General features: G+C 37.4%; 1 protein-coding gene across 11 annotated transcripts in view; it reads left to right on the forward strand.

The window, feature by feature from the left end:
* The window catches only part of COL14A1 (collagen type XIV alpha 1 chain), a 249120-nt gene that overhangs the window by 62655 nt on the left and 160219 nt on the right, over positions 1-26246 (forward strand). For all 11 annotated transcript variants that reach the window (NM_001413490.1, NM_001413491.1, NM_001413493.1 and 8 more), the window contains 8 exons: positions 9683-9838; positions 10703-10822; positions 12294-12458; positions 16601-16762; positions 19835-19986; positions 21124-21253; positions 22648-22793; positions 25340-25469. In NM_001413490.1, coding sequence (NP_001400419.1) covers positions 9683-9838; positions 10703-10822; positions 12294-12458; positions 16601-16762; positions 19835-19986; positions 21124-21253; positions 22648-22793; positions 25340-25469 — 1161 coding nt within the window. The remainder of the gene's footprint in view (positions 1-9682; positions 9839-10702; positions 10823-12293; positions 12459-16600; positions 16763-19834; positions 19987-21123; positions 21254-22647; positions 22794-25339; positions 25470-26246) is intronic.

Below are 26246 nucleotides of genomic sequence, written 5' to 3' on the forward strand. Positions count from 1 at the left end.
CCTTTCTATCTTCACTGACTATGTTGATAAATACCTTTATCTAAAAATGCATTGTAAACATTTCATTATATAAACCATAATTGGGTCTTTAATTTGAATACCATTAGAACAAAACCAATAATATTGTTTAAAAGGAAGATTTTTAATTTGGTAATTTCATACTATTGCCATTACAGTAACATTACCCCTTGCCCCCACATAGAGTTACTCTTTGTATGATTTTGTTTACTTTTATAAAGCGCTTTTTTGCATCTGAACCTATGTCCTTTATTATAGTCTATTTCCTCTCACTAAGAATTTAATCACCGAGTGGTGTTAAGAGTCAAAATAAAATGAAAGAATTTGAACTGCCAGAAGTTGGGAGCTTTGTTGTGTTCCCAGTTGCTCAGAATAGTGCTTGGTACATAATAAACACTAAATAGATTTTCAAAAAAATAAATAAATTTCATCTAGGAAATTAGTTGCATAACATCAAATGAATAAACATGGGTTTGGAGTTTCTCATGATGTCAGTAACACAATAAAATTGGTGTAAAATTATTGGAAGAAGGATGCTTTTCACATGGGCAACTTCACTATGAAAGTGCATTTATTTGGGATGGAAAAACATTCTAGACAAATAATTGGACATGTTAGCAAACAGCACAGATTAGCTGTGGACACAGCAGGGGCAAGCCCTGCAGAGACACTGCTTTATGTAACAAGCTTTTCCCCCTTAATTTCTAGATTTACGTAACATAGAGTACCTTCCTGAAGTCAGTATATAGCCCTGTGGTTAAAAACATAGGTTGTGGAGACACATTACTTGGGTTTCAAATCCCAGCTTTGCCACTTCTTAGCTGTGTGACACCCTGGACAAATCACACAGCCCTTGTATGCCATCCTTTCTGACTGCAAATGGGAATAATAGTAATGGTACCTGTTCCATAGAGTTGTTGCGAGGACTAAATCAACAGATAAGTGTGGAAGGCTTAACTTTTTTTTTTTTTTTTGAGATGGCGTCTCGTTCTGTCACCCAGGCTGGAGTGCAATGGTGCAATCTCAGCTCACTGCAACCTCCACCTCCTGGGTTCAAGCAATTCTCCTGCCTCAACCTCCCGAGTAGATGGAATTACAGGCACCCACTATCATGCCCAGCTAATTTTCGTATTTTTGTAGAGACGGGGTTTCACCATGTTAGCCAGGCTGGTCTTGAACTCCTGACCTCAGGTGATCCACCCATCTTGGCCTCCCAAAGTGCTGGGATTACAGGCATGAGCCACCACACCCAGACTTAACATTTAATATAATAATGTACATCATTTCCAAATATGAAATGTTAAGAAATCGCTAGTTCTTCCAACTCTTCTCATCACAAAACTCCAGAAAGTATAGAAGAGAAAGGGGATCATTTCTCCTGGACTTGTGCAATTGTTCCTTTTGATTCTATCTGTGACATGAAACTATTATTATTATCTTTGTAATCAAGGCCATATATTGAGTGCTTTTCTTTAAGTTCAGCTGCTTAGGCATTTTTAAAAACACAACCTGTATTTTCAGAATTGCATTTTAGGTAAGACCCATGTAAAGTTAAGAGCTGAATTAAAACACAGTTCAACAGGTCATTTCCTCTGTCCCTTTGCTTTAATTTTAAATACAGGCTTGCAGACAAAAAGGATTTATGTTATTTTACAAATTAATTTGGAATATTGTCTTAGCAATAAAAGCTTATGCACTCATTCCTTTATATTATAGATTTAAACTACATTTAGCTGCTGGATTTTACACATTTACCTGGGCTCCCAGGCGTGTCTGGTTTTCTTTTCTACTACTTGATTTTTAACACATTTTAAGGTACTTAATATATTCTTTCTGATTGATGTCTCTCTAAGAATGGTGAAATGGGTAATGTGTTTGCCAGTGGAGAGTAATGTTGTCTTCAGTTTTGAATCTGGGCTCCTGCTTATAGTAAGACAATGATTTGAATGCATTTCTTTAAAAAGATTCACTGTAACAGCTGGAATTATGGTTAAGGTATATGATTATTGAACTTGAACACAGTGGCTTTTAAATTACCTCTTTGTACCAAGTATATGAACAGCTGTTTGCCCCTGGCACAGGCAAACCTGTTGATGGGACAAACATTGTACATGTGTACCTTATGATGGAAATAGCCATTAGGGTTCATTGTGTTTATGTATGTCTTAGAGCTGCTAACCTGGATTTAGGACACAAGAAAAAATATTGTTTTTACAGTTCTCAAGTGAGTACGTACTAGTCTTCAAGAAAAATCATACTTTGCAGTACAAAACCAATGATGGATTTTGACTTTTGAAATTGTTGAAAAAATATCTTCCTATGAGTCTTTTTTTTTAATTAAAATTTTTTTATTTATTTTATTTTATTATTATTATACTTTAAGTTTTAGGGTACATGTGCACAATGTGCAGGTTAGTTACATATGTATACATGTGCCATGCTGCTGTGCTGCACCCATTAACTTGTCATCTAGCATTAGGTATATCTCCTAAAGCTATCCCTCCCCCCTCCCCCGACCCCACAACAGTCCCCAGAGTGTGATGTTCCCCTTCCTGTGTCCATGTGTTCTCATTGTTCAGTTCCCACCTATGAGTGAGAACATGCGGTGTTTGGTTTTTTGTCCTTGCGATAGTTTACTGAGAATGATGATTTCCAATTTCATTCATGTCCCTACAAAGGACATGAACTCATCATGTTTTATGGCTGTATAGTATTCCATGATGTATATGTGCCACATTTTCTTAATCCAGTCTATCATTGTTGGACATTTGTGTTGGTTCCAAGTCTTTGCTATCGTGAATAGTGCCACAATAAACATACGTGTGCATGTGTCTTTATAGCAGCATGATTTATAGTCCTTTGGGTATATACCCAGTAATGGGATGGCTGGGTCAAATGGTATTTCTAGTTCTAGATCCCTGAGGAATCGCCACACTGACTTCCACAATGGTTGAACTAGTTTACAGTCCCACCAACAGTGTAAAAGTGTTCCTATTTCTCCACATCCTCTCCAGCACCTGTTGTTTCCTGACTTTTTCATGATTGCCATTCTAACTGGTGTGAGATGGTATCTCATTATGGTTTTGATATGCATTTCTCTGATGGCCAGTGATGGTGAGCATTTTTTCATGTGGTTTTTGGCTGCATAAATGTCTTCTTTTGAGAAGTGTCTGTTCGTGTCCTTCGCCCACTTTTTGATGGGGTTGTTTGTTTTTTTCTTGTCAATTTGTTTAAGTTCATTGTAGATTCTGGATATTAGCCCTTTGTCAGATGAGTAGGATGCGAACATTTTCTCCCATTTTGTAGGTTGCCTGTTCACTCTGATGGTAGTTTCTTTTGCTGTGCAGAAGCTCTTTAGTTTAATTAGATCCCATTTGTCAATTTTGGCTTTTGTTGCCATTGCTTTTGGTGTTTTAGACATGAAGTCCTTGCCCATGCCTGTGTCCTGAATGGTAATGCCTAGGTTTTCTCCTCTTTGTACCTCTGGTAGAATTGCCAGCTCCTCTTTGTACCTCTGGTAGAATTCGGCTGTGAATCCATCTGGTCCTGGACTCTTTTTGGTTGGTAAGCTATTGATTATTGCCACAATTTCAGATCCTGTTATTGGTCTATTCAGAGAGTCAACTTCTTCCTGATTTAGTCTTGGGAGGGTGTATGTGTCAAGGAATTTATCCATTTCTTCTAGATTTTCTAGTTTATTTGCATAGAGGTGTTGGTAGTATTCTCTGATGGTAGTTTGTATTTCTGTGGGATCGGTGGTGATATCCCCTTTATCATTTTTTATTGCATCTATTTGATTCTTCTCTCTTTTCTTCTTTATTAGTCTTGCTAGCGGTCTATCAATTTTGTTGATCCTTTCAAAAAACCAGCTCCTGGATTCATTAATTTTTTGAAGGGTTTTTTGTGTCTCTATTTCCTTCAGTTCTGCTCTGATTTTAGTTATTTCTTGCCTTCTGCTAGCTTTTGAATGTGTTTGCTCTTGCTTTTCTAGTTCTTTTAATTGTGATGTTAGGGTGTCAATTTTGGATCTTTCCTGCTTTCTCTTGTGGGCATTTAGTGCTATAAATTTCCCTCTACACACTGCTTTGAATGTGTCCCAGAGATTCTGGTATGTTGTGTCTTTGTTCTCATTGGTTTCAAAGAACATCTTTATTTCTGCCTTCATTTCGTTATGTACCCAGTAGTCATTCAGGAGCAGGTTGTTCAGTTTCCATGTAGTTCAGCAATTTTGAGTGAGTTTCTTAATCCTGAGTTCTAATTTGATTGCACTATGGTCTGAGAGACAGTTTGTTATAATTTCTGTTCTTTTACATTTGCTGAGGAGAGCTTTACTTCCAACTATGTGGTCAATTTTGGAATAGGTGTGGTGTGGTGCTGAAAAAAATGTATATTCTGTTGATTTGGGGTGGAGAGTTCTGTAGATGTCTATTAGGTCCACTTGGTGCAGAGCTGAGTTCAATTCCTGGGTATCCTTGTGAACTTTCTGTCTCGTTGATCTGTCTAATGTTGACAGTGGGGTGTTAAAGTCTCCCATTATTATTGTGTGGGAGTCTAAGTCTCTTTGTAGGTCACTCAGGACTTGCTTTATGAATCTGGGTGCTCCTGTATTGGGTGCATATATATTTAGGATAGTTAGCTCTTCTTGTTGAATTGATCCCTTTACAATTATGTAATGGCCTTCTTTGTCTCTTTTGATCTTTGATGGTTTAAAGTCTGTTTTATCAGAGGCTAGGATTGCAACCCCTGCCTTTTTTTGTTTTCCATTTGCTTGGTAGATCTTCCTCCATCCTTTTATTTTGAGCCTATGTATGTCTCTGCACGTGAGATGGGTTTCCTGAATACAGCACACTGATGGGTCTTGACTCTTTATCCAATTTGCCAGTCTGTGTCTTTTAATTGGAGCATTTAGTCCATTTACATTTAAAGTTAATATTGTTATGTGTGAATTTGATCCTGTCATTATGATGTTAGCTGGTTATTTTGCTCATTAGTTGATGCAGTTTCTTCTTAGTCTCAATGGTCTTTACATTTTGGCATGATTTTGCAGTGGCTGGTACCGGTTGTTCCTTTCCATGTTTATTGCTTCCTTCAGGAGCTCTTTTAGGGCAGGCATGGTGGTGACAAAATCTCTCAGCATTTGCTTGTCTTTAAAGTATTTTATTTCTCCTTCACTTAGGAAGCTTAGTTTGGCTGGATATGAAATTCTGGGTTGAAAATTCTTTTCTTTAAGAATGTTGAATATTGGCCCCCACTCTCTTCTGGCTTGTAGAGTTTCTGCCGAGAGATCCACTGTTAGTCTGATGGGCTTCCCTTTGTGGGTAACCCGACCTTTCTCTCTGGCTGCCCTTAACATTTTTTCCTTCATTTCAACTTTGGTGAATCTGACAATTATGTATCTTGGAGTTGCTCTTCTCGAGGAGTATCTTTGTGGCGTTCTCTGTATTTCCTGAATCTGAATGTTGGCCTGCCTTGCTAGATTGGTGAAGTTCTCCTGGATAATATCTTGCAGAGTGTTTTCCAACTTGGTTCCATTCTCCCCGTCACTTTCAGGTAAACCAATCAGACATAGATTTGGTCTTTTCACGTAGTCCCATATTTCTTGGAGGCTTTGTTCATTTCTTTTTATTCTTTTTTCTCTAAACTTCCCTTCTCGCTTCATTTCTTTCATTTCATCTTCCATCACTGATACCCTTTCTTCCAGTTGATCGCATTGGCTCCTGAGGCTTCTGCATTCTTCACGTAGTTCTCGAGCCTTGGCTTTTAGCTCCATCAGCTCCTTTAAGCACTTCTCTGTATTGGTTATTCTAGTTATACATTCGTCTAAATTTTTTTCAAAGTTTTTAACTTCTTTGCCTTTGGTTTGAATTTCCTCCTGTAGCTCGGAGTAATTTGATCGTCTGAAGCCTTCTTCTCTCAACTCGTCAAAGTCATTCTCCGTCCAGCTTTGTTCTGTTGCTGGTGAGGAACTGCGTTCCTTTGGAGGAGGATAGGCGCTCTGCTTTTTAGAGTTTCCAGTTTTTCTGCTCTGTTTTTTCCCCATCTTTGTGGTTTTATCTACTTTTGGTCTTTGATGATGGTGATGTACGGATAGGTTTTTGGTGTGGATGTCCTTTCTGTTTGTTAGTTTTCCTTCTAACAGACAGGACGCTCGGCTGCAGGTCTGTTGGAGTTTGCTAGAGGTCCACTCCAGACCCTGTTTGCCTGCGTATCAGCAACGGTGGCTGCAGAACAGTAGATTTTCGTGATCCGCGAATGCTGCTGTCTGATCGTTCCTCTGGAAGTTTTGTCTCAGAGGAGTAACAGGCCATGTGAGGTGTCAGTCTGCCCCTACTGGGCGGTGCCTCCCAGTTAGGCTGCTTGGGGGTCAGCGGTCAGGGACCCACTTGAGGAGGCAGTCTGCTCGTTCTCAGATCTCCAGCTGCATGCTGGGAGAACCACTGCTCTCTTCAAAGCTGTCAGACAGGGACATTTAAGTCTGCAGAGGTTACTGCTGTCTTTTTGTTTGTCTGTGCCCTGCCCCCAGAGGTGGAGCCTACAGAGGCAGGCAGGCCTCCTTGAGCTGTAGTGGGCTCCACCCAGTTTGAGCTTCCCGGCTGGTTTGGTTACCTAAGCAAGCCTGGGCAATGGTGGGTGCCCCTCCCCCAGCCTCGCTGCCACCTTATAGTTTGATCTCAGACTGCTGTGCTAGCAATCAGCGAGACTCTGTGGGCGTAGGACCCTCCGAGCCAGGTGTGGGATATAATCTCCTGTAGCACCGTTTTTTAAGCCCCTCGGAAAAGCGCAGTATTAGGGTGGGAGTGACCCGGTTTTCCAGGTGCCATCTGTCACCCCTTTCTTTGACTAGGAAAGGGAACTCCCTGACCCCTTGCGCTTCCCGGGTGAGGCAATGCCTCGCCCTGCTTCGGCTCGCGCACGGTGCGCTGCACCCACTGTCCTGTGCCCACTGTCCGGCACTCCCTAGTGGGATGAACCCGGTACCTCAGATGGAAATGCAGAAATCACCTGTCTTCTGCGTCACTCACACTGGAAGCTGTCGACCGGAGCCATTCCTATTCGGCCATCTTGGCTGCCAGTCCTATGAGTCTTAATTTCAAGTGAAATATGCCTAGTTGTAGTTTGCTTTTAAGGTTTTTGGTGCTTAAATTATGTGACATAAACACTCAAATTATTTTTCTAGATAATGTTTTCTGCATGCCAGATAGGATTATTTCCCTCTTCTTTTAATTAGTTACTTAATTAGTAATTTTTAATGGTGTCATAAGCACCCAAGCCCCCCCTTACCCCCAAAATCTAAGACCTTGACCATACCCCACACTTATGCTTTTATTTTCTTTAAGATGTCTTTTGATGACCAACTTAAACATTTTTAGTCTTATTAAACTTATCAATCTTTTGATTTATAGTCAATTAGTTCTATATCTTGTTTAGGAGCTATACAGAATTTGTATTTCCAAGTCATTTCTGACTTGAATGAGCTAAATAAACAGAAAATATCTATTGGAAGTTATTTTTTAAACCAGAAAATACCAATTTCATTACCTCTCTTTTAAATAAGCAGAAAGCGTTCCCTTTCTAAGATCCTATCCACATGGTTCCCAATTAATTTATAAGTGAAATAATATCCCCAGTAGTTTTGGAAAAGAAAGAAAACTACTCTCCATTTGAGAGTAACTTTTCCCCATAAAAACAGAGAAAAATGGGTTCTTGAAGCTTAACCAGACTTCAATTTTCCCTGGTTATGTCCAAAAAACAAATTAATTTTTATCCCTTGACTTCTTGTGGCATTCCATTTTAGCCTTTTTCTTAGTGTGGTACAGTAGGGTTGACTCCCAAATACAAAGTTACCAGCTGATGGCTCTGTATTTGGTGATTAAGAAAGGGAATCTGGTGCCAGAAAGTGAATACACAAACTTTGGATTAAGTTGTACTGTTTAGCTTCCATAATGAATATTGGAGTATTTCATTGGCAAATTCATTTTTTCCCCATCTGGTAAAAGCATCTAGGTATCCCATGAATATTTATATCTGGAAAAAGTCAAGATCCTTTAAGCAAAATGTGGCCTGGTAGGCGCAGAGACACGTATATTAAACTGCCTATGCCAACCATAATAGTTCAACTATTTTTTTTTAAGTAAAAGCATATTCAACTTGTTTATGAATACTTCTGTATTTTGGTTTTCATTATATATGTTAAAAAAATAAAGATTTTTTTAGACCAGCAAGAATAAAAAGGATACAGGAAACCCAGCCCCAAACCCCTCTGCCCGCCACACACACTTAATGATCTCTAGTCCTAACATGAAAATTCAGCAAAGTTAAGCAGTTCTTTGGAAGCACAGACCAGAGTTCGAAGCAATGTTGCGATCGGTACTAAAAGTATTGGTCTGTTCTCACGCTGCTAATAAAGACATACTCGAGACTGGGTAATTTAAAAAGGAAAGCGGTTTAATGGACTCACAGTTCCACATGGCTGGGGAGGCTTCACAATCATGGCGAAAGACAAAGGAGAAGCAAAGGCACATCTTACTTGGTGGCAGGCAAGAGCACGTGTGCAGAGGGAATCTCCCTTTTATAAAACCATCAGATCTTGTGAGACTTATTCGCTATTCAGAGAACAGCATGGGAAATACCTGCCCCCATTATTTAATTACCTCCCACTGCATCCCTCCCATGACACGTGGGAATTATGGGAGCTACAGTTCAAGATGAGATGTGGGTGGGGACACAACCAAACCATATCGACATTGTTAAGGATTTGTGAAACACTTGGAGAATATTCCTTTGTCTTGGCTCGGTGTGAATAGAAATGGTGAGTTTCCCCTAAAGAAACACAGACCTACCCTAGATCAGGCAGCCTCCTCCATTGTTGTAGAGACTTAACCATTCACCTTCTGCATTTCCCCAGCATTGCTGTGAGTGGGGCCTTCTCTAATAGTAAAACATAGGTACCATGGCCACTGGGCATCCTCTTCTGAATCTTTGTCCTGAGTCCTAACTGAGCCATTTAAAAAAATCAATTATTTACATGATCTTTAGGAGCAAAATTTACTGTCACATACACATAATATGCAAAAAACATTTGACTTTGGGGAAACTCTTTGGCCTTTTTCCCATTATCTTGTTCCAAAAGCCCTTCCTACTTTAGAAAAAGTCTCTGTACCTTTGTTGGATTAAATACGTGGCTGTAATGTTTCCTTGAATTCAGAAAGTCCGCATTTCTCTTTTTTCTATCACTTCCTGTAGCATAAATTTATCAGGATAGGAGAGCCGTCTTTTTGCCTCCTGGCCGTCTTCCCATCTCGGCTGACTGGCACACGCTGGTGTTGCTAAGACCTTTCCTGGAAAGAATCAACAGGCAAAAGCTCAGAGCTGGATGCTTTTGCACAGACACTACTTTCTAAAATACACAGAAGGCTGAGTTGTCAGGATGGTGTGAACCTGCCCAGTATTTTCCTATTTCCAGAGTACTGGCTCTACTGCCAACAGTTACCACAATTTTTTTTCTAGTAAAATACATTTAAGGGAAGAGTTGTAAAAAGATGGCTGCTCCTACGGGAACTCTTTTGTATTCTTAGCACTAAGTTGTCTAAAAGACATTAAGATGGACTGTTTTTGAAGTTGCTCTGACAGTAACACATGCGCTTTTCTGGTTTGTGCTTTGCAGAAGTGAAATTTGTCTGTCAAACTCCAGCAATTGCTGACATTGTAATCCTGGTCGATGGTTCATGGAGTATTGGAAGATTCAACTTCAGACTGGTTCGGCATTTCTTGGAAAACCTGGTTACAGCATTCGATGTGGGCTCAGAGAAGACACGAATTGGTATAATTTCTATTATTAGCAGTAGCAGTCAGTTGTCAGTGCAAAACTGCTGGGAAGTATTTTAAGAAATTTCAAAAATTCCTTACAAAGTGACTTTCAGGATTGCAGGATACTCATGGTCCCCTAAAGTACATGTTTGGATCAATAAATATTATTTATTCCTTCTAATTTTTGCAATGACACTGTCATTCAATTAATTATTGAACATATTTTAATCTTCTGAAAAGTCAAGTTCTTCTCTGTTACTTTAAAAGTTACAGCTGGTTTAAGAATTTATTGCATAGCAGTTTTCTTTTTATTTAAAAGAAATAGCTAAATCTAGGAAAATGTTGAACTAGAAAATTGGCAGTCATTTAATAGTACAAGATAACCTTTGCCAAATTAATTCTAGCCCAGATAAGAAGCAAAAAAGTTGTAAATCTTTGAGCAATATTGAGCAATTACAAATATTTATTATTTGTAATCAAATAATAAAAATAATAAATCTTTATTAAACAAAGTCTCCTAGTTTAACTTTTAAATAGCCATTAAGAAAAATGACTCCTTTGAGAATAAATCAACAACAAATAAATCTAGACCTTTTATCTACAAACATGATCAGAGTTTTTTTTAATGCCAAGTACCTAATTGGGCGCTCATTTATAAATGGCTAAAAAATATGTACACTCCCTCAACCCCCGTATATGTCTAACTTGATTCCTTTAATTGATCTTACTCAGCAAATCTTTTTGAAAATTTATAGCCAGGCCAAAATAAAAAATTTTTGCAAAGATGAGGCCTTTCGTCATTCCAGTTTCTTGAGTAGCCCACTAGATTTTTGAGTAACCCATTATTCCTGGTGCGTTTCCTAATCTTTTTTTCCAGGTCTTGCACAGTATAGTGGTGACCCCAGAATAGAATGGCACTTGAATGCATTTAGCACAAAAGATGAAGTGATTGAAGCTGTCCGAAACCTCCCATATAAAGGAGGAAATACACTAACAGGTATGTTTTGTTCAATCCATGTTATAACAACATATCTTTTTGAAGAATAATTGTATTACCTCATTTTGCCACTTTGTAAGCGTTATCATAATGTTTTAATTAAACTAGCACTTAGGATTCTTTGATGGCTGTTTTCCCAAACTCAGCATTGAGTTAAAAGCCAGATATCTCATTCCTTTTACTCTATGACTATAATGTCCCAGGAAGGGCTTGGTTGGGCTAGGAGAAAATGAAGCAAGCCCTGAGACCAACAGAGTGGAGTAGCTGTCTAACTTTTGTCAGCTAATCTCTTCGCTACTTTTCTCCTCCTGCCATCCTCCACCCTGTTATTCAAATATAAACAAATTTCTTCTTATTTTCAAAGAAGATATTTTCTTTGCCCTTATTCTGCAATCATTAGTTATCATGAAAATATTGTGAAATAATTTTCTAAAAAGTCAAGATCCTCTCTTTTCATAATAATAATATGGATCTTTGGCTCACAGTATTTTTGATGAATGACGAATATAAGAATATTTACATTATAATCATCCATGGCACAATCACAAGGGGTTTGTAAAAATTTTCACCTTGAGACATGCTGCAAGCTGAGCATCCCAACTCTGAAAATCCAAAATGTTTGAGTGCCAACATGATGCTAAAAAAATGCTCATTGAAGCATTTCAGGTTTTGAATTTTTAGATTTGGGATGCTCAACCAGCAAATATAATGCAAATATTCCAAAATCCAAAAATACCTGAAATCCAAAACGATTCTGGTCTCAAGGATTTTGAATAGTGGATATTCAACCTGTATTGCCTGCCACAGGCACATATTAGAGATGCTCAGATGAAGCAATGTAGATGTTGTTATTGATTTTTAGGTAAACCAGTAGAATCCTGATCATTGCTTTGCCAACTTGAGGCAAAGTCTCGTGGAATTTTTGTTAATGCAGCAAACAATTTATTGAACACAAATCCTACAACAATATTGCACCATTTCTTATTTTTTTCTGGATGGAAAGTGTCATGCTCAAAAGGCAGGAGTACGATTAATGATATTAGATTTGTCCCTTCTACTCCTAAAAAACAAAGAGAGGGATTTTTTGGTTCTTTAGAATATCACGAACAAAATTGAAAACCTAGTGATAACGCACTACTGTGTGAGTATTCTTGCTTCATCCTGAATTATAAAGGTTCAGATCTGCTTGTACATGAAATCTATTATCATCCATTGGCCATGAATTCAGTGTTCTTTATAAATGCTAGTTTCTGAAAGAATGCAGTGTTTAATTATTTTCATTACCTTTATTCCAGTGGATTTTAGTTCCTTGTTGAATCTGTGAAAGACAACGTTATTACAAAAATGAAGATTTGCATGTAATAAAAAGTCTATGGCTCAATAGGTTACCCATCTTGTGGTTATATCTTGAAGAATTAGGAGACTTTTTATTAGAGATAGCTGGTGTTTACTTTTCCTTGTTTTCTCCAAGGTCTTGCTTTGAACTACATTTTTGAAAATAGCTTCAAACCAGAAGCAGGATCAAGGACTGGAGTATCCAAAATTGGCATTTTAATCACAGATGGAAAATCCCAAGATGACATTATTCCACCATCTAGAAATCTTCGTGAGTCTGGTGTAGAACTGTTTGCCATAGGTATGTGCTCTTTATAGTCTTGTTTCAACTAAGGGCATAGACCCACAACCACTTAAAACAATATGTAATGTGAAATGCACTTCACTGAAAGCCAGGAGACCTGAGCACTTTCTAGTCTTGGCACTTGTCATAGGCAGCCCTGTGATCTGAGCCCAGCTTCCTTACAGTTAAAATGGGAGTGATGCTAGCTGTCATGTATCCCATGGTGTGAGGATTTCTAAGTGAGGTGTCATATATAAAATGCTGTGAAAAGCATAAAGTGGCATGCAAAGGTCAGGTACATGTTTGTTACTGTTTAGTAAGTCAAGACTTTCTCTTAAGGGTCATAGCTATCTCTTTTCTGGTAATATAGGAAGAATCTAATTTATCATTTTCAAGGAAATACGATCCTGCAACTACGTAAAGAAGACACAAAGTTCAAGATTTGTAGTAGTTCTTATCTGAAACTAACCCTTTATAAGGTATCCTTCTTGTGTGAAAAAGCATATATATATATAGATAGCATACATTCAGAATAACTACAAAATATTTAGATGATGTGACTTTGCTGTTGATTAAAATGTTAACATTTTCTTTGGCAATGGGAACGTCTTCTATTTAGTAGAGAACAACAAACTTTCTCAGCAGAAAAAATGCCTGATTCCCAAGCAACACTGAAACACAAACCAAAATATAACAGCGAATTCCTTAATAGGGCTCTGAAGACATTTGAAATTGGTTATCATGAAGGGTCCCTTTTATTATGTTTTACATATTTAATTATTTTATTTGTGATCAATCTTTAGTCCAAATAAAATGCATTTATCTTTCTGCATTTATCAAGAATATGGTGCATTTTTCTTTTTGTGAACTTTCCATGAGCTGTTTCTTCTATCAAAAGATAGTACTCTCTGCTCTGTAGTTACATACCCAGTTATAGTGGGTGCTGGCATAAAAACTACATATTTCAGAGTATTATTCTACTCTTATGAAATTGAACTATCCAGGGAGAAGGGGCCTGGGAATACGTGTTTTAAAACCATACCCAGTTCTGTACCTTAAAATCATTCTCCAGGGTTGAGAACTACTGGTAAGCCCAAGGGAATATCTCCTCTAGGTATACTGTAAGTTTGTCTCCTTTAGAGAAAGATCCTAAAAAGTTTTCCTATTTATATATATATATATATATATATATATATATATATATATATATATATATATTATTTTTCATCAGAGGAGGTTTCTGATCATTTTTTCAGAACTTGTTTCCTACTAGTATGTAGCCAAGTACAGTCTAAGAACAGCTGCAGAAGCTGTGGAAACTATGATGTTCCCTCCTGTTTCTTTTCCTTATTCCTACAGCATCTCTAAGCAGTGAGTTCCCAGAGGTTCAGGTTGTATCTTCTTCACTTTTTCATCCTGATCACCTATCCCAGTGCTTGACACTTAAAAAGTATCCAATAAATGGCTGTTTAATAAGTTAGTGCTCTAAAGAATTTCTAAGATAGCATTATTTCCCTTAGTATTAAAAATAAAAATATTCTTGAAAGATACATGTAAGAGAAGTGTATTATTATTATTCAAGTAAGTGATGTATATTATCCTATAGTAATGTAGCCATTACTGCTACATTTTTCATTTACAGAAGAAAGAACAAAGACATCCAGGGAAAAAATTAAAAATGTATTATGTTTGAACTTTGTTTTGGTAAATTAGAACCTTGTTATTTTGTGTGCATGTGTGTGTGGTGCAGGAGGAGGTAGCTGTTATAGCTCAGTGTTGTGCAGGAGCCAGCTCATGCCAGTTTGCAAGAGCCAATTGTGCACACCTTTTCCCAAGTCTGCATCCTGTGACCTCATATTGGTAGTTTGGAATAAGCTACAGTGGGGTATTTATTCTACAGAAATTGGCAAACACTACAAATGAGGGCAGAAAGCTGACTGTTAAATATTTACATTTACCAGCACACCCCTGGAATTTAAATGGGCAATAAATGGATTTAACCATACGGTAGCTTCACTTGTAAAGATAAATGTGAAGTTGGTCCTAGGAGTTGAGTTAAATTTGCTGTGCAGGAACATTTCTTACCCTGAAATTTAACAGTACATCTTTTAGAGTTATCAATGAAAAAAAAACTTTAGACCCTGTCCTAGATTTGCTATTCACAATGTGGCTTATAGAATGCTTGATTCAAGAAGTATTAGCTTACATACTATGTGCCAGGCATTGTGGAGGTTGTTGGGGTACAAAGATGAACAAGGCAAAATCCTTAGAAAACAAATTCCTCCAAAGTCGTGATGACCATTTCCTCTCTTTTCTGTGCAGTTGCAACAGTCAAACTATTTTATTTGGGAAGGTGAGGGAGAAGCAAAATTGGGCCTATTTTTCCCAGAATATTTCTATATAAGTCCAAACTTGTTGGATTCAACTGAATATCACAAAAAAAGCATTATTGGCACTGCTTCAGCATACACTCAATGTTATATTAATTCAGATGTACATTTGAGAAGCAATTGTAGAAGTCCTTCAGGCAAGAACCATCAGAGAGATTTATTTTCCTGTCCTTTTGTCCAATAAAGGAAATCTCTGCCAAAGACTTAAACTAATGGAGAACTAATTTATATGTTTATTCTCCATTTTCTGCTCTTGTTAATGATGAATAGGTGAGTTTTTAAGCAAAGCTTTCAGTAAATTCATCCAGATGTGATTTAGACTTCTCTGAAAATTACTTGGAAATCAGCAGTATTTATTAACCTGCAACCTCCTAAAGCAAATAGTTCAGAGACAACTAATGCTTTGTTGCTCAATATGTTGGGGTTGAAAGATAAATTAATTGGCACAGCCAGCCATCTAAGAAGTAATTCATGTTGCCCCAGGTAATTTCTCTTCCTTGCTTCTATAGAACCTCCTTTTAATACCCTCCGATGATTGAAATGACGGGGATTATAAAGAAATCCTCCTTGTTTGATGAGGCTTGGAGAAGGGAAATCTACTTCATACCCATAAAACTTAACCTCATGCCTCTCCTTTCCTATCTCTAACATTGTTGGTAAATGTTTACTCATTTTAATGTGCAGTCTTCTGAGAGGCAGTATAAAATAGGGGAACAATAGTTCCAAACTCATAGGATTGATTGTCAGGATTAAAGGTGTTATTATATGGAAAACACTTACTATGGTGCTTGGGGGCACAGTGATCACACTCTTTTTTAAGGGTTCGTGTTCACTGCTTTCTGTCCTATTCTATTCCCTGCTGTATTCCAGACACCCAACTTTGTGCTTGACCATGGTATTCAGTAGATACTGTGGAAGGACCAGGAATTTTCTATTTACATTAGTAAAATTGCAGTGGTTACTAGACAGCAAATTGTATTTGAGTATGTTAAAAAATAATTTTCCCTAGCTTTCTCCTTGGCTTAATGCTATACAATAATAATAATTTCAAATATATATATATATATATATATATATATATATTTGTTCTAGCAGTATTTCTCAATTTCAGTAAATTTATTTTATAGAAACTTAAACCTGAAGCTTTGATAGTTTAGGATGCTGGTTTAATTACTATTGCTTCTGCAATATTCATGCAAAACAGAAGTTAGTTTTATTAAGTCATCTTCCTGTTATGATGTATTGAGTAAAATTAATATCTAATCATTTAAAAACGATTCTGCAACTGATTTCTGTAAAAAGCAATCTCACATGAAATGTTCCTCTTTAAAGTGGCAGATGCTTTTAACCAAATCCAAGACTGCAGGTCCACCAGAAGTGGGGAGGGTAACTGAAACAGCCTCTCAGATGGGGGTGGGGGGGGGTCCCAAGTGTTGTTTACCAGAACACAAGCATATAACAGCTTTCATCTTGGCAATGGTACATATGCTCGCTCTTCCCTTTTTTTGCTTATTTTCTTTCTATATGAATAATTTGTTAGAATCAGAGCTATTGTTTTGTGTTATATAATAGATATGACTATATTTTTTCATTTCATCGGTTTATTTCGTGTGCGCATTTTAAATAAAATTTTAAATATATATATACAAGTAGCAGATGATGCTTTGACTGCAGTGAAGATTGACTGACTGGGTCAGATCAGGCCCACCGCAGTCACTCTTTCCAAGGGGGCATAAAAGTCACCATTCTCTTTTTTGTCCTCTGTGTAAGGGGTGAAAAACGCGGATGTGAATGAGCTGCAGGAGATCGCCTCTGAACCAGACAGCACTCATGTGTACAATGTTGCCGAATTCGATCTGATGCACACAGTTGTGGAGAGTCTGACCAGGACTCTCTGCTCTAGAGTGGAAGAACAGGACAGAGAAATTAAAGGTAAAATGAGTGACAGAGCAGTCCTGTGGATGTCAGTATTATGGTGCACAAGCCTATTGTGAATTGGGAAAATTCTTTTCATTTTTCATGTTGGCTTTTTGAAGACCCCTTATTCCCCTAAGACCTGAGCCGTCAGAGTAGAAAAGGGAGTATATTAGCAGGCTTTGTGGGGGTGAAGGAGGGACTCTTTAAACACAAGATGATTTTCTCCATAATGTTACATTTACATTTATTTAAAACTTAAACTTTTAATTTTAAGATAGTTATACATTCAAATACAGTTTGTAAGAAATAATACATAGAAAGATTGTGTGTTCTTTACTAGTTTTCCCAATGGTAAAATCTTGTAAAACTAATTACATTACCACAAGCTGAATACTTGTCATTGACACAGGCAAGACACAGCACATTTCCACCACAAGGATCACTCCTGTTCCCTTTTATAGCCACACTCACTTATATCCCTCACTCTCTCTCCCTAATCCCAGACAACCACTACTCCATCTCCAATATTTTTCATGTCAAAAATATTACGTGAATGGAGGTATGTGGTATGTAACCTTTGGGGACTGGCTTTTTTCATGCAGGAGAATTCCCTGGAGATTCATCCAAGTCGTTGCATGTGTCAACAGCTCTTTCTTTTTAACTGAGTGCCAGATTCCATGATATGGATGTGCCACAGTTTGTTTAACCATTCACACATTGAGGGGCACCTGGGTTGCTTTCAGCCTTTGGCTATGATGAATCAAGCTGCTGTGAATGTTCATGTGGAGGTTCTTGTGCAAACATAAGTTTTCATTTCTCTGGGACAATGCCCAGTAGTACAATGGCTGGATCATATCCCGGTTGCATGTTTTGTTTAATGTAGTTTTCATTAAGACTGGCCTCCTTGCTACTGGACGGTGGTGAAAGTCCTGACTCACTGCTAGGTCTCCTCTGACACTGTCACAGAGTGAGGGAGAATGGTGCCTCATTACTCCCAAGTGGGGTTGAGGGTCCAGGCAGGCTCTTCATGTGGTCTCTCTTGATATCATAGATAGGATTGTAGGGGAAAAGATTCATTACCATCTGCTGGGGATGAATATCTCTTCTCTACTTGACCTCTCACACCAACCTAGCTGGCATGAGGGGGTTGGGGTGGATGTTAGGGCACCCTATTACAGCCAAAAAAGGCTGGAATTTTGACTTCCCACTAGGCCTTTGCTGGCATGGGTAAAGGTGTGGCCACATTTTTTTTTTCTGTGTTGATTGTCTGCAGTAGAACAATTATTACCAAAAATGTTTAAAACGTTTCAGTCTTGGTAGGCTGGCCATTTCCTGGTCCTTTGCTAGAGGGAGAAGATTTTGTTAGCAATTTTTAGTCTGTATCTGTTGGTGTTTCTAGGTTGCCAGATACTTTAGCTCCATGTCTGGGATATATGAGTAAAAGGAAGTGGGAGCTCACCGCTGGGAGCTCCTGAGCCCTGTAGTTCTGCACTCATTGACCTTCTTCTCTCTACTTTTCAGCATCTTCTTATGCTTGTCTTTGATATAATTTCCAGAGTTTTTAGTTATACTCAGCAAAAGGAATAGAGTAAAGCACTTACTTTATTTGGAGAGATATCATATCATTGGTCTGCAGATTGTGCTTGCCTTATAGAGTTGTAATCTGAGAAGAGGGTAATATCCAAGTCTTCTTTCAAGAGTCTGGTTTTATTTGCTGCCTCTGTTGTAACCAGTGTGAAATGGTTCTTTCTGGCTACATGTCCTTCTCTCTATCATCATTCCCCTTTCCCCAGGCTAGATCTTGTGGGGCTGGGCTGGGCACCCAAGCAGTATGATCCTGAACACATTTCTCTGAGCTTCAAAGTGAAGCTACTTTAGAGCTCAGTTTTTCCAAAATAGTCTACATGTGGTTGATGATACAGCATGTAATAAAGTTCCTGCCCATAGTTTGTGTTCAAAACAGTATTTTAAAAATTGAGATTATTAAAGTCCCTTTGAGTAAGTGCTCTTAAAGGGTGAGAAATTCTAAAGTTTAAGCTCTTTATTATAATTTACATATTGTATTCCCCTTCCACTTAGATTTTGCATGTCCCAAATTTTTATAGAATCATTTGCTTTAACATGTGTAACACACACACACAAATGCTTACCTAGTATCGAGCTCATAGTGGGCATTTAGTATATGTTAGTTGCTTTTTCTTTTTTTAAATTTTTAGGTATTAGTCACTTGTTGAATTGAAATTTTTAGTATAGAGCCTGTGTTCGCTGATGCTTAAAAACATAGACTCTTGTGTCAAGCCCAGATATCAATGTCAACTCTGATACTAATTGTGAGACCTTGGTCAGGTTAGCTAACTTCACTGTGCATTGATTTTCTCATATATGAAGTGTGAACAGTAATAGGAACTAGGGAGAAGTAGATGAGATAAAAAAAACTTCTTAAGACTCTGAAGAGTACCTTTTGATACACACATGCTTAGTTAATGTTTGTTTGTTTGTTTGTTTGTTTTTTGGAGGCAGAGTGTTGCTCTATCCCCCAGGCTGGAGTGCAGTGGCACGATCTCGGCTCACTGCAACCTCTGCCTCCCGGTTTAAGTGATTCTCCTGCCTCAGCCTCCAAAGTAGCTGGGATTACAGGCACCTGCTACCATGCACGCTAATTTTTGTATTTGTAGTAGAGACGGGGTTTTGCCATGTTGGCCAGGCTAGTCTTGAACTCCTGACCTCAGGTGATCTGCCCGCCTCGGCCTCCCAAAGTGTTGGGATTACAGGCATGAACCACTGTGCCTGGCTGTTAATGTTTGTTTTTATTATTTATTAACAATGACCTTAATTTAAGAAAGTTCTCTGGAGTCAAGAACTATGTCTTATTTAAGTTTGGTATCCTCGGAACTTAGCATAGTACCTGGCACCTAATAGACATTTAAATGTTTGAATGAACAAATGGATAACTGAATCAACTTATCTAAAGAGGAAAATCTTAGAGGCAGCATAAAATCAATATTTATTTCTGTCTAATGAGATGTCTTAGCTTCATAAGAAATAACTTTGGGTAAGAGGTTTATTTGATATGTTTTTTTAATTTAGCCTCAGCCCATGCCATCACTGGGCCGCCTACGGAGTTGATTACTTCTGAAGTCACTGCCAGAAGCTTTATGGTTAACTGGACTCATGCCCCAGGAAATGTGGAAAAATACAGAGTTGTGTATTATCCTACCAGGGGTGGAAAACCAGACGAGGTAATAAGGAGAGAGTATTTTCAAACCATTCTTTTTATTCTCTCAAGTCTTCTACAATAGTGAGAACAAGGCAGAAATATAAATATAAGATTATTCCGTCACAGACATTTTAAAGAATTTGACTGAAATACATTTCCACTTGTTCATATTGTTCTCCCCTATCTCTGAGTTATGGCAATTACATCTTTCATCTCTCCAAATAACACTCAGAACTGGTCAGGTATGAATTTCTAACACAACGTATTTTTCTTCTTAAAATTAATAAGTTCTAAAGTAAAAGGTATCAGTAGCTAATTATCTGGCCAGGACCCCTTTTGCTATTTGTGCATTTTTTCTACTTGGGAGTGGTCTGAGCTTTCTGCCTTAGTTAAGTCTGTGAATTCCAAAGTACGTGGTCATATATGGACTAGTCCTCCAAGGCTTGGAGTTTTCCGGACATTTGTAGGGATTAGTGCAATGGAAAAGCCATAATAAAGCCGCTATGGCTGGCATATTTTTATGGCTTGGCCAACACAGGCGAGAACACCTATTGCCAGATGATTAGATCCTTCCCATTTCCTACCTTTGATACCACAATTCACAAGCAATAAGTTAAAACACGATGAAATTCTTTTGTCTTTTTCTTTTTGTTGTTCTAGCCTCTGACTGACCTCAGCATATTTCACAATGTTCTGTGTTATGGTAGGATTTATGATATTTTTTAAGTGTTAGAAAAGTAGATTGTGGAGTCTTAAATCATTTGGACCAAAAAAAAAAAAAAAAGATCCGAGTGCTTCCAATGATTCTTTTATTTTTCATGACTAATAAATCTTTTAAATGTTTCCCAAAGCTCTATGGAAAAATATCATGTTTACTGTTATTAAGTGGATGTAAATAGGATAATAATTAGCCTGGTATTGACACAATTATTTCTATTAGATATGAATTAATAAGGGACTTCTAGACACATTCCATAAAAGGTGCATCACTTCACTTAGGAATTCAAAGAGAGTTGACTGCCACAGTGGAAAGGGGGATGTGGCACAAACAAGAAAATATTCAATGAAATATTTTTGCTGGACGTATTTTCGCTTTTTGATTTCAATTCTGCGTGTAAGATATTCCATACTCTCATTACTCAAACTGTTCTTTAAACAGGTGGTGGTAGATGGAACTGTATCTTCCACAGTGTTGAAAAACTTGATGTCTTTAACTGAATATCAGATAGCAGTCTTTGCAATCTATGCCCACACTGCTAGTGAAGGCCTACGGGGAACTGAAACTACACGTATGTATTTAATTCTACCCCACTTCTAACTTTGTAGAGTGCTGCTTAGGAGGCCTTTCTTAAATTGAAATTCTGCTCAGGTCATGTTGATAGACATCCTGAATCGAATTCAATCAAATTCATAGAAGACATTTGTCGTGCTATATGTGATACTGGTCCATGCTTGATATAGTCTTGCCGGTGCTATGTCTTGAAAAAGTTGTTATAAATCTCTGATAGGTTTAAGAGCAATCTTGGTGGTGAAGAGTACAAAAAACATTCATTCATTTATTAAATAAGTGTTTAGTAAATGCCTATTATGAACTAAGAATTGTCCTTGAATTTGTCAGTAGAAGTAGAGAAAAAACTCCATAGCTCTCCCGCCCAATTGAATGCCAAGGAAATTATGTTACTGCTATCTTTATTGTTCATATCATTGTAGGTAAAACAAGCTTCTGAATACTAATAATTCCCTCCCTGGGTAGGATCGTAATAACACACCATGACAACATACACACATAATACACACACGCACACAGAATCATGAGAAGAGATAATCTTTAAAAAAAGATCGAACATCTTATAGTCATTTCTAATATTAACAGAGTTCCTATTACATGCAAGTCACTATGCAAAATTGCTCTAAAAAATCTGCCTCTGATAGAACAATAACAGTGTAAACAACACTAATCACAATGCGCCAGGCACTGTGATCATCACTCTCTGAACTTTCTTGGATTTATCCCTGGCAACAATCTGTCGGATGAGTGTTAATGCCCTCACTTTGCAGAAATATTTTAGTGACAATCCTTATTCTCAAGGATGTTTTAGTGAGCCTGGGCAACATGGCAAAACCCGATCTCTACAAAAAATACAAAAATTAGCTGAGCATGGTGGCACGCAGCTGTGGTCCCAGCTTGTGAGGCTGAGGTGGGAGGATTGCTTGAGCCCGGGAGGTAGAGGTTGCAGCTAAGATTGCACCACTGCACTCCAGCCTGGATGACAGAGGAAGAACAGGTCTCAAAAAAATAATAAATAAAAGAAAAAGGATGTTTTAGTGTAGTAGGGGGTGGGGACGCAATCCAAGGACATGCAAACAGATTAGTGCAATGAAGGGCTGTAAGCACTCTCATAGATCCCTGTACAAGGAGCTGGAAATGTCAGCAAAGTCCTGAACTTGACACTGTGGTTAGAAGAGTAGGGCAGGGTCACATTAGGGAGGGTCTAGAACCATATTTGAAAACAGCAGTGTTTCCTGTTTTTCATCAGCATTGTTTAACCCAGGAACTTGCAATTTATTCTTAATCCCTTTCTCCCTTCCCCTCAAATATGGTCAATCTTATTTCTTGATAATTTCATTTTTCTCAAGGACACATATATAAGTGGCTCAACATTTAAAAAAAAATCTCTTGCAGTTGCTTTACCGATGGCTTCTGACCTTCTACTGTACGACGTGACTGAGAACAGCATGCGAGTCAAATGGGATGCAGTGCCTGGGGCCTCAGGTTACCTGATCCTTTATGCTCCTCTAACAGAGGGCCTGGCTGGGGATGAAAAAGAGGTAACCACTTCCTACCTATTACAGTCCTAGAATCTTTTATTTCCTTAAATAAAATAAAATTTTTATTGTAAAAATTTAATGTAGAAAATTTAGAAATTTCAGATTAGCCAAAAGAAAAAAAAACACTTATAATCCCACCACTGAGAGATAGCCATTGTTAACATTTAATTAACAGTCTTTGTCGATGCATTTTGAAAGCAACACATGGAAATGGTTTCGTAGCCTGCTGTTTTCATTTTATTTGTTGTGAAGCTCTTTCCATGTCATTAAAGAACATTTTACAAAGTCATTGTATACACCCATAGTATTCTACTGTTGGTTTGAACAGATCATGTTTAATCAATCTATGTTATTGGATATTTAGATAGCTTGCTATATAAATAATGCTTTTGTGAATATTCCTAACATATGTTTTTGCATAATTGTTTGATTATTTCCCTAGGATAAATTCCTAGAAATAGAGTTTATTTTTCAAAGGGTAGGCAAATTATTAAGGTTTATACTCAGTATTGCCAAATGGCTCTAGAGAAATGTTATATGTTTTGCTTTATGTGGTGCATAAGTGACTGTTTTCTCCATATACACTGAATTAAGTTTTTTCTTACTAATTTGAGAGGTAGATAAACATACCTCATTGGTGCAAAATTTTGAATTTATTCCATTTTAAATGATGAACCTTTGACCTTCAGATGACTTTCAAACATTTTAGTCCTCATTTTTAATTTGTAGTGGACAATAGCTATAATGCAGACATTTAAGGAATGAAGAGGATGAATCTCTGGCACTTGGAAGTGTAATGACCAGGCAGGTGGAGTTAATAAGCAAAGCAATTCAGAGAACTTGATTGTCTAAAATTGTGTAAAGCCTGTCCCTGATGATTGAAATCTTTAGGGTCAAAAAAATGGTGAATCTGAGTGTCAAGAACAGAGTATTGGTGACATGTGTCTTTTTATTTCCAAGGCTTAGATGGCTTTTGTCTATTTGAATTTAAAGTTGATCTAAATTATTTTGACAAAAGAGAGACTTACAAATAGTGCTGAGAAGATGCTCAGCCTCACTATGAAAGAGAAAAAAAAAAGGAATAGTAGTTTAAAACCAATAGATTAGCAAAAAAATTTTAAAGTCTGATAATACTGTGTATTCATAAGCACACAGGAAAAGAATCGCTCCTGTAACTGCTGGCGGGCATATAGATTGGTACAGCTCCTTTGGAGGATATTTTGAAATATTTCATCCTGTTGAAGATATATACTACTTTTTGGAAATGTATCATAGGGAAACATCTTGCAAGCATTTTTCAATGCAGGCACTTGGTTGGAATAAAACATTGCAGACAACTAACAGGCCTGTTAATAGAGGAATGGAAAATAGTGGTATATTTATAGAAAAGAATATCATAAAGGAATTAATGATGTCAACTCTGTCCTTATGTATCAACATGGATAAATCTCAAAATGTAATATTAACACAGAAAAAATAACAAGCTGCAAAAAGATTGTGTTGATATGATCCCATTATGTGCATTGTGAAACATACAGGATCATATATTGTTTATAGATATATCTATACACATACAGAAGTACAAAAATGCAGCAGTAAGATATACATCAACCTTAGGGTGGAGGTAGTGGACAGAAAGAATGAGAAAGACCTGTTGTTTTATCTGAATATATTAGTTTTTTAAAAAATAAAATCTGAAGTTGATATGACAAAAATTTGATATTTATCCAATTTGAGTAATGGGTACATCAGTGTGTATTATATTATTTTCTGTAAGTTTATGTTGTATATATTGAGATAGTTCAAAATTCAAAATTTTAATTTGATGATTAATCCTGGCAGTCATGTGCCTGTAGATTGGAGATTTATTTTTTCCTTCCAAAACATAAAACTATCTCGTCACTCTACTGTCACACAACTGAGAATGTTGGATAGTTTGAATCCAAGGGTCAGAAAAGGTGTTCAAGAATCAAAAAAGCAAATTGCCAAGTTGGGTGTCAAGGTGAGTTGATCTCTTCTGAATACTGGAAGTAACTTGCAATTCAACTGCGTGGATTCTCTTGTTGAATGGGGACACAAAACTGGCCCAGCTTCATTGAGTTTGAAGCAAAAACTGGGCATCTGGCCAGAGCACTGGTTAGTATTAGCCAAATACTGAAAGATGCCCACTTGGCCTTGCCTCCAGCACACTGGCCTGGAGCTCACAGTCTCTAGAGAACATTTCTGATTCAATCCCACCCACCTTCTCCTGGGGAGCATATACTCAACATTGTTATTCTGGCTGGAGTTGCCATTTGTCCAGATGTAAAGAGTTATCCTAACACAGTTCACATGGTACTTTTCGACTTATATGGTTCCATAATATCTGTTCCTAGTATAAAATGACACAAGACAATTTAAAAATTATGACTGAAGCCTGTTTGATGAAGGGGTTGTAACAGGACGTAAAGTCTTATCCCATGAAGTCTCACCTTTGTTCTGTTCCACTCTGATCAGCATGAATAATATGTATTGGCAAATGATCTAACAACATGTGTTCTTTTCAGATGAAAATTGGAGAGACCCACACAGATATTGAATTGAGTGGGTTGTTGCCCAATACAGAATACACAGTCACAGTTTATGCCATGTTTGGAGAAGAGGCCAGTGATCCTGTTACGGGACAAGAAACAACATGTGAGCAGCACAGCCATTCAGTTGGGATGCTGTAGTAAAAGCCCACATGAATGTGGGGATTCTGAATTGGAACTACTAGTTTTGTTGAAACCTCTTAAAAGCTAATTATAATTTTAAAAATCTCATGTTCTATTTAGGGCAAGGAAATGTATTTCTTATATATTATATTATTATGAGTGATAAGGTTGCCAGAACCAAGCTTCAGCATCCTCCAGATAATTCCACCTATGTCTTTCTTTGTCTAAATTCAAATGCAGGTCAGAATCTAGAGGGAAGAGTGTAGGCTTTGCAAGATAGCAGCTGAGATGGGAATCTCAGCTCAACTCATATTTTAGCCAGGTGACAATGGGTGATTGATACAACTTTTTTGATTGTATAAAAGGAAGAACAATAATCTTGCAGCATGTGGTTGGTATAAGATTAAATACAGTAGTATATGTGAAAACACTCAGCACATAGTTACTGAATATCTGTTTATTTTCCACTCATATCAAAATTAACAAACATTTTTTCCTAAAAATCTTTGCTGTCTTTAACTGAGCCTATTACTATTGTAATTCATTTTCAATTGAGTAAAAATTTTGTTGGTAAGGCTAATTTTGGATAAATGTAGGGAATTCCTAGAACTTTTTGGGAAATGTATGCATTTATTTTTAAAAATATGGTATAAACAATATTACTGTGGCATACTGATAATACTTACCACATACTATTAAAATATGGCTCTATTCGTGATCTTTTGAAACATAAGAAAGTGCAGGGAGACTTGGGGTCTTG

This window comes from Homo sapiens, chromosome 8, assembly GCF_000001405.40.
Source record: "Homo sapiens chromosome 8, GRCh38.p14 Primary Assembly".
Lineage (NCBI taxonomy): Eukaryota > Metazoa > Chordata > Mammalia > Primates > Hominidae > Homo > Homo sapiens.